This window comes from Homo sapiens, chromosome 2, assembly GCF_000001405.40.
Source record: "Homo sapiens chromosome 2, GRCh38.p14 Primary Assembly".
Taxonomy (NCBI): domain Eukaryota; kingdom Metazoa; phylum Chordata; class Mammalia; order Primates; family Hominidae; genus Homo; species Homo sapiens.
In genome coordinates, this window is record NC_000002.12 from 179343352 (window position 1) to 179353396 (window position 10045).

The 10045-nt window shown below is 38.4% G+C and overlaps 1 annotated feature.

Moving 5' to 3' along the window:
• Positions 600-1799: an enhancer, noted in NCBI's record as "MED14-independent group 3 enhancer chr2:180208678-180209877 (GRCh37/hg19 assembly coordinates)". NCBI's record gives its function as "activates an origin of replication core promoter dependent on BRD2, BRD4, P300/CBP and CDK7 cofactors, and independent of MED14, by STARR-seq in HCT116 cells {active_cell/tissue: HCT116}" and the evidence as "EXISTENCE:reporter gene assay evidence [ECO:0000049][PMID:35650434]".

The following is a 10045-nucleotide window of genomic DNA, read 5'->3' on the forward strand; positions in this document are numbered from 1 at the left end:
GTTTATTCACAAGAAGTTTTCACCAATACCCGTTTTTAAAGGCTTATAGTATCAAACTTTTACTGTATATCCTGCCATACTTCTTCTTTTTTTTTTTCAAGAGACAGAGTCTTGCTCTGTTGCCCAGGCTGGAGTGCAGTGGTGTGATCATAGCTCAATACCTTGACCTCACATAGCCTCTACCGCCTGGGCTCAAGTGATCCTCCCACCTTATCCTCCCAAATAGCTAGGACTATAGATAGGCATGTGCTACCATGCCTGGCTAATTTTAAACTTTTTTTGTAGAGATAAAGTCTCACTGTTAACAGTGGAGGGTGTCCAGGTTCTTGGCGTCTTGAGCAAAGAATTGGACAAAACGCACAAAGCAAGGAAGGAATGAAGGGATTTATCGAAAATGAAAGTACACTCCATAGTGTGGGAGTAGGCCTGAGAATAGGGGCTCAAAGGCCCTGTTACAGAGTTTTTGTGAGTTTAAATACCCTCTACTTGGGGTACGCCCTATGTAAATGAAAAGGATGAAGTAAAGTTACAAAGTCATTTATGGCGTATGCCCTGTGGAGAGGATATTTCCTGTTATAGCTCAAGTGTGAATTGGCCTTCTGTTCCCTGCCTCCAGACCCCATTTTCTTGCCTCATCACTATGTTGCCCAGGCTGGTCTTGAACTCCTGGCAGGTGATTCTCCTGCCTTGGCCTCCCAAAGTTCTGGGATTACAGGCATGAACACCTGTGTCCAGCCTGCTTCATTCTTTTACTTAAAAAGTTTACTTTTAATTCATTGACCTTTGGGAAATTTAAAATGGAAAGTTTGAATCCCAGACTTTGGTTTTGAAGCAATAGCTGTTTGAAGATCAAGAGCTAAATCAAGGCATTCAGAGGCTCAGAACTTCACACATTCATCCTTTCAGTACCCTTCTATTACAGGAGGAGCAAAGGTCATCTTCCCATTTAACTGGTGAAAAACTCAAAGGTGGAGACCAGTAGGAAAGGATGAGAACAAACAGAACTCTCTGCAGTCCCAGCCCAAGGCTGATGAGCTACCTCCTTGCTGCTAAATAGGGAATTTTCCATTCATGCCATTTTAATTTATGAAATATGATCTTCCTCAAACTCTGAAATAGACTTTGTGCTTTTTACCCTGCATGAACTTCTCACCCTCTTTCCTGATCCTCCGGAGTTTGCTCTCTTAAAAGTAACCTTTTAAATCCTGGAAAATGATTCTGTTTTCTCAATTGACTATGGCTGCTCACAGAGTGTCTGTAGCTCTCTTCAGTGACTCAGCACTTTACAGAGAAAAATTGTTCTGGAGGGAATGTTAGGGCAGTCCACATAGCCGCTTACAGGAAAGAAAGAGATCAAATCCTGCCTACAGGGAAAGCTGAAACACCAAACTTAAATGCTAAATGGAAACAATAACAACAATAACAACAACAACAACAACAACAAACGACCAACAGATGATGAAAACCCCGTGAAGCAAGGTAAAGAAGGGAAGAGCAGAAGTTCTCCTAGGTATGAACAGGGCAGGTTCTGAAAAGCTGTGTGTAAATCTCTCAGTATCCATGAGCAAAGAGGCCCTAATCAGGTGATCACACTGCTGTGGCTGGTAGGTAGAGCCTACTCTCCCTTGTTCTGATGCCTGCTTTATCCTCACTTTTCTGAAGTTGGAAGTTTGTGTGTAAAGATGCAGTATAGAATTTGAACTTAGAAAATTGCAAAGGAACCAAGGAAAAATCACTCTTCACTGCCTCTCTCACTTGTTCATTTGGATCCAATGCACCTGGCCTATTTCCTAAGAAAATAGTCTGTTTTAGGTTGTTTCTATGGTCACAGTGGGTCTTGTCAGAGCTGTATGTGTACTTGGGACTTGGACACTGTCATTCTTCTTGAAGCCAAGTAGTAGAGAAAAATCTTCCATTTGTCATGTTTGCCTCAGGGCAGCTCCTCCTGAATCACTGTAGATTGTTCTAGAAACACAGACAAAGCAATAAAACCCTCTTTCATATTGCGTTGACTTGAAATCATAACCATAAGTTCCCACCACAAATTTCTTTCTTCATTAATTCATTTATTTCCTCCCTTCCTCCTTCTTCTTGTACAAAGGCTTTGAAGGAGCATAGTAAAATCTTAAAGAGGAGAAAATGAGTGCTAGGGGGAAATCTGGGCCTAGCACACCATGCATACACCTGGACATTTGCTAGAGGAGCACCTCACATTTGGTCCAGAGCTTTGCAGCAGCTAATACAGATTTGTGTGCGAGATCTCTAATTTGTAAATGGATAATACAATTGAAGTGTCCATAAGAAGAAAACAAATCTATTTTTTAGAAGAATCATAACAGTTTTTGACCTGAGAGGAATTCCCTCCTAAAGTGTAATGATGTGGTGGACAACTGTTCAGTAGCACTGCACATATAATGCAATAATGGGTTTCATAGGGTTGTTACTTATAAGGTCCAGCAATGCAAGCTGATGGTTTCATGGCCAAATTTAGCTCAGAAAAGGTAATCCTGCAAGGAGCTCGACAGTGTGGTTGTAGGATACTAGCTGTAAGATTTGATGGTTAAAAAAATGTTAAGTCCCATAGAAACAGATTTACTGTATGGGTATCTGGGAATTTTACCTGATTTTTTTTCTTTCTTTTCTTTTTCTTTTTCTTTTTTTTTTTTTTACAAGAAGCTTTTTAACTCCTTTGAGCATCTGAGTTCAAGGTTATCCTCTCTGGAGAGCTGCTCAAGTATAGATAATCTGTGATGTTAATGAAGGACACATCCATTTGAGCTGGTGGTAGAACTGACATTTTCTTATGAAAACTAAGGAATCGAATCCAGACAAGGCCAGGATGGGAGGCTACCTTACCTTTAGATAGAGGGGGCTGTGATTATTACAGAAGAAAATAAAAACAAAACAGACTACTTTTTCTTCAATGCTAGAAATTAGAGAGCATTCACTTTAGGAATTTTTATGCATTACTGTGTCTTAACTTTTGGATTTTAAAGGTGGAATATAGTCATACAAATTGAAAATAGAAACATAAAGAAAAAAATTAAAATCACCTTTTTATCCAATCACTGGAGACAATCAGTATTGGCATTTTCTAATTTTTAACTACAGAATTGGGGTTTTACTATGCAGACAGCTTTTATATACTTTGTTTCATTTAATATTATATTATAAACATTTTTCCATATCATTAAATATATGAAAAATAATTTATAGTCATGATTTTGTTATATTTGTTATATGTTGATTTGTTTATACTGTTTATATACTATATTTTATATTTCATTGCATGTGTAAGTCATAACTTATTTAGTCACTCCACTATTTTGGGCATTTCATTTTTTTTTTTTTTGTAGACATTCTGGTTAGGGGACTACCTCATTTGGTTTCTGCAAAGATATTCTCTGCAGTTGGACTGCTTGGGTCCAAATCTCAGTTAAACTATTGTGTGACATTGGTAAAGTTATTTAACCTTGCTGATTATCAGTTTCTTCTGTCAAGTGGGTATAATATTGGTGCATCTCTCCTAGAGTTTTTGTGACAAGTGATGTTTGTTAAAGAGCTACCACATAAAAAAGGCATACCACGTGATAGCTGTTGTCATAATTATATTCCAGGGGTGTAAATTCAAAGTTTGTGCAGTCAACAATCCAAATTTAGATCTTGAGTGCCAAACCCCAAGCGTTGCAGCCTGCTTCTAAGACAGTTATCATCTCACAACTCAAGCTTCACGGAAGAAGGGAAGGAGGGGGCTATCACAATGAACACTTCACTATAGAAAACAAAGATATTGGGTGAAAGGTAAAGAGGAAAGCAATTAAATATAACTGGGGCTGGTTGCTCACTGGTTGTGAAGTGGTGGCTCACACCTGTAATCCCAGTGTTTTGGGAGGCTGAAGCAGAAGGATTGCTCAAGGCTGGGAGTATGAGACCAACCTGGTTAGCATAAGGAATCCCCATTTCTATTTAAACAATAACAACAACGACTGGGCTCTGTACTAGTTTGCTAGAGTTGTTGCAACAAAGGACCACAAAATGCATGGCTTTCACAACAGAAATTGATGGTCTCGTAGTTCTGGAGGATGAGAAGTCCAAAATGCAAAATGTGTCTGCAGGGTTGGTTCCTTCTGGGGGTCCTAAGGGAAGGATCTGTGCCAGGCCTCTCTCTTTGGTTGTAGATGGCTACCTTCTCCCTTTGTCTCTTTACATCATCATCCTGCTATGTGTGTCTGTGTCCAAATTTCCCTTTTTATAAGGACACCATTTGTGGTAGATGAAGGTCTTCCCCTAATGACTTCATTTTAACTTGATTATCTCTGTAAAGACTCTATCTCCTACTGAGGTCACACTCATAGGACTTTGATATATTAATGAATTTGGGGGCAGTGGGGACGATACACTTCAACTCATAATGTAATCCAAAGTGAGTTTTAGTTTATTTTATGCTTTGGAGAAAAATCACTTTACCAAGAAAGACAAGATTCATACTAGTTCTAACTTTTTTATAGCCCACGATAGCATCAAAACGATGTGTGCCCAATATAAGCTCTCTATGACAGCCATAGTAGCTGGTGAAGGAGGTAGATGTGGGGAAAAAATCTTAAATTAGATAATAAAGAAGACTTCAGGGCCTCTCTCTCAAATTCTCCCATTCAAATGGTCTGTCTCTTTATCAAGCAGTTCTTTTTTTGAGACAGAGTCTTAATCTGTCGCCCAGGCTGGAGTGCAGTGGTGCGATCTCGGCTCACTGCAACCTCTGCCTCCTGGGTTCAAGTGATTCTCCTGCCTCAGCCCCCTGAATAGCTGGGATTACAAGTGCCCGCCACTGCGCCTGGCTAATTTTTGTATTTTTGGTAGAGATGGGGTTCCATCATGTTGGCCAGGCTAGCCTCGAACTCCTGACCTCAAGTGATCTGGCCTCCTCGGCCTCCCAAATTGCCCGGATTATAGGCATGAGCCACCATGCCCAGCCTCAAGCAATTCTTTCATGAGTGAGGTGTTCATTATATTCTTGAGCACTACATGAACATTTTAAAAGACATGCATGGTAGCATCTCAGAGGGTAAATCTGAAGGGACCTCACTGCCTTGATAAAAATCAGAGAACAAAATTGAACTTCTAATGTGACCGCAAAATGGCTTCATCAGATAGGAGAAGGGGAAATCATGAAGAAAATGCTTTCTTTTCTACTCTTCAAAACTAAAATAATAAACCAATGTGTACCTGTAGACTTAATTGGCTGAAGAAAATAAGTGTTCTAGAAATAGATCATACAAATAACTCAAATACCTCAGGAATATATAAGACTGGGGTTTCAAGGCAATGGAAACCCAACTGATCAGCAATAACTAAGAGCAAAAACCCTTGGGAGGTGGATGGGTCATTCTTCCCAAATACCAAGTAGAGAATCATGATTCATGTCACCAAAATGATCCAGGGTTTTGCAGAATTTGAAGAGGCACTAAATGCGAAAGCGGCAAGCAAAGAACAATTGACAGAATTATAATTCAGATCTCAGTTCTTGGCATCTTTGAAGAGTGTTCTAAATTTTGCAAGTGATACCAGGCAGGGACACAAGCTATAGTCTTCCTGCTTTAATCCGCAGTCTACAGGCTCAAAACTAATCCTGTGAAGTCAATGAGTATGAAAGATCCAAAGGCTCCTCCTGTGATTAGATTTCCGACTTCCCTTGGAGCTGCCATTCATCACAGCTCCCTGGCCTTGTGCATGACTTCAACATGAAACATTTCTCAGGGAATCGTTTATGCTGGAACTCTGGCCAGCATCCCTCCAGAAGCAGAGCTGAGAACTGAAGAATCTTTAGAAAGGAGAGGAAACTGAAAGTAGGACAGCCCTTGAGAGCACATTTATCCCAATGGCTTTTGGTGTGTTGTCAGATGCAAAAATTTCCAGTCTGAAGAGTTTTAATATTCCTATCCTTTCTAGCTGAAATATGGTTTCCTTCTTTTCTAAGCATCAAAGGATGATGTCACCATCCTTCCAAGTCATTTAGGAACAAGGCAATAAAGTAGATATTTGGTAATGATTTCACCCAGACTTTGATGAAAAGCAGCAAATCATGGTTCTTCCTGAGAAATATTTGCTTTTGTATTCTATGTCCAGATTGCCATTTATTCTGGTGTGTGCAAACACAGAGGCTGTTTGATAATCTTGTTGCCTCCAAGACAACCTTATTCTCAGTTTAGGAATAAGCCAAATGCATAAATATCCTTTTCTTGCCTTTGAAATGATGGTATTTATAAATACTTCATGATTTATTTCAGACGCACCCAATTTAGTGGTTGGGCAATTTAAATCTCCTCACCAGAAGATTCAAATGCAAAGATATCTACCAGAATTTTAGTTTTATAGTTGAGATATAAATACACACAGAAAAGTCTATAAATACAGGGGCATGAGTAACTCCATATCATAAATATTTTATTCTCAAGTTCATATTTTTCTTTCCATCACATAGACCTGTGATATGTGGCTGAGATGTGCATGAGTGACAAATCTTTCCAGCAGATACATGATATGAGTAGTGAAAATTGTCTTAGTGAGTTAGTTGTTGTTTGTAAGGTGGCAAGGACACACTCTCTCTTCCTGAAAAATTAGTCCACTGTATCCTTAATATGTTTAAGAATAAGAATGAGTTAACTATTGCCTTCTGCTTAAAAGTAAAAATTAGGATGTCTTTTCTCAGTAATTTATATCATGCTATAAATAGTATTTGCTAATAATATTAACAAGGAACTGACCTACTTCCTCTTTTTAACCAAGAGATAAAAGGTAACTGACTTTCCAATTACTGAGTACTGCTTTTGCTGGAAACTTGTCTCATTTCATAAATATATTGAAATAATTTAAATTCTAAGCCTAGAAAAAAAAACTGGTAGAATTAGAATTCTCTGGCTTTCTTATCAGGACGAGCAGAAAAGTATGCCTAATCTGGCTCCTTGGCATTGGAGGTCCAGAGGAATTATTTGGATGTTTTCAATTAAAACCTGACAAAAGATAAATTGCTGTGTGAATGACAGGAAAAATCAAATGCTGATTTTATTAGAAGGAACTCATTAGGGAAACACATTAAAACCAGGAACTGATGGGACCTTATGGTTCTGGGAGACAGAAAGTGGGTCTATTGCCACTTAGAAAATGTTTTAAAACAATATAAAATGAGTTCCACAAAGTACAGACAATGATAATGCAATTAGATGTTTCAGTTCTTCGGATGGCCAGGGACTAGCCATACTGACCAACCATAGCATACCAGGCATGATGCCTGGGCTGCGTGTACTGGACTAGGAGTGCTCCGAGGGCAGGGGCTTCGTCTGTCTCACCTTTGATGTTCCAGTGGAAAATGATATATGCTTATTATCAAAATTCAAAAATCATTGAAAATACTCAATAAAGAAAATGAAAAGAATTCAGTCCACTCCCTTATAGATAATTTATTGTTGGCTCTTTGGTAAATCAGCATTTGATTTACTAAACCAAATTACTTTTGGGGGTTAATCTCTTTCTATCATTTATCCATCTATATTAGATATCAAGGTGGAAATATTTTTTGTTATCTCAACCACTGGTCTGAAAATTTATTATAGATTGAGGCCAGTTTTTGTTTGGAAAGCCAATACATGATTGAGTTAAAAGAAAAACCTTAAAGATGTTGAAAAGATATTGGTTGATGCACAAACTTCAGAGAACAGGGTAGAATTGCTCTGCATGAGAAAAGGAGAGGAGTTCTTTTTTTTTTTTTTTCCTTCCAAAAAAGGGCAGAGAGAAGAGTAGAGAACAAATAATCCAGGGAGAAGTAAATGAGAGGGAGGGAAGGGGAGCCAGAGGAGGCTGTGAGACTAGGAACTGTATGGAGGAGGAGTAAAGAGAAGAATTCATGTTGCCGGGGTGCCCAGGAAACATTTGGAGACCAGCAATTTCTTATAGGGGCATCATGGCATTAGCAGTGCAGCAGGCAGTGCCATGTTTCCCCTAATGGCTTAGTAAAGACTTTTATATCTACAGAATAGTTGGTGTGAGTGAGCTTTTCCTGTGGGAACAGGGGTGAGTGTCAAGACCATATTGAAGCGGTGTGGAAAAAAAGCCCATATGTGTGGAAGCAGGCACCCATGGGCTGAGAGACAGAGGTGGCCAGGAGACACAGCCCCTTACTTCTTTGCTGCATGATTCCCCCTAAATTCACAGAACACTTGGAAACGTTTTAGACTCTACAGGACCTGGAATTGGCAGTGTTGAACCACTTCTACCTTTAAGAGTCAGAAAGACCCTAGAAGATATCTTGTTTATAATTACGCTAATCCAAACCATGATGGTGAGACTGCTCCCCCAGTCTTATTGATTAAGATGCAATCTGCTCTAAAGAATGTGTCTCAGATATCTCTAATGGATTTTGGTACCTAATGTGTGCTAGGGAACACATCCCTGGCATTCCTCTCTTCTGGTCCTGACTTCATGTTAGTATCCCTCTTGTTCCAGTGATGACTCTCACCATCTCTACTCTGGAGGACATGGCTGCTATCTGGCAGTGACCGCTGCCCACAAATATGGATGTGGGCTCTACCATAATTTCCCCTTACAGAAGAACAAAGACTAATGGAAGGAGAGTCCAACACGGAAGATACATTGCTTCTGCAGTTCAAGTCCATTTTGCTGTAGGTCACCTATGGGCCTAGCCACCTTCCTGACTTGTCATCAGCTTTTCTCTGTGTTGTCAGGCCCAGGTCAGGACACCTGGCTCCTCACAGTCACCGAGTCTCAAACCCAGAGAAAAAAGAAAAAATTTCTCCTCACCTCAGACTAATTCCTACTCACTAAGTCCTCATTTTTTGTCCCAGGATGAATATCTTCCTAGTATAATGGACAGTGGAGAACTTCTATCTGTTATAGGGAAACCCAACTACTATATAAAAGAGTGAGACTGGCTCTGTGATCCCAAGAAGAAAATAACAAAGATGATGCTTTTTCTATCATGTGGGTTAGACGGCCTTACCCTTGGGCAACTTGATGTAATATTGTTTTTACAAAAGAAATATGTAAAGTAGGTCGAATACAATTTTCCATTTCCTCTTTCACTTGACAATACATTTTGTATATCATTCCATATATGTCAACTTTATGCTTTTTAATAGCTGCATGCTGTTCCATAGTTGCATGGTTATACTATAGTTTGTTGATGAACATTTTGGTTGTTTAAACAAATACTGCCACAAGTATTTATTTCAAAATACTTTAATAGATGATGTAAATCTAGTAAGTATCCCAACATTTACCATACAACACTTTTTAAGTTGTGGTTAAATATATATATAACATAAAATTTATGATTTTAACAATTTTAAAGTATAGAGTTTTGAGGTATTACGTACATTCACATTGTGTGCAACAATCACTACCATTCATCTTCAGGACTTTTTCATCTTCCCCAGCTGAAACTTTGTACCCTTAAAGACTAACTCTGCATTCCCACTTCATTGCAGCCCCTTGCAACCACTCTTCTATTTTCTGTCTCAAAGAACTCTACTCCTCTAGGTACCTCATATAAGTGGAATAATACAGTGTTTTTCCTTTTGTGACTGCCTTATTTCACTTAGCATATGATTTCTTCAAGGTCCACTGATGTTGTAAGCATGTATCATCATTTCCTTCCTTTTTAAGGCTGATAATATTTCACTATATGTATATACCACATTTTGTTTATTTATTGGTTGATGGAACTTGGGTTGCTTTTGACTATTGTGAATGATGCTGCTATGAATGTAGGTATACAAATATCTGTTTCAATTCATGCTTTCAAGTTTTTGGGGTTTATATTCAGAAGTGAAATTATTGGATCATATGGTGATTCTGTTTAATTTTTTAAGGAACTGCTACATTGTTACCCATAGTAGCATTTGAGTCATTTTTAATAAAATAAAAGCCATATATATTTTTTTATTTATTTATATGTATCTGTATTATATATATTTATATATCTGTATTTTATATATATAAATAGCTTATATATATATAAATAGCCATATATAAA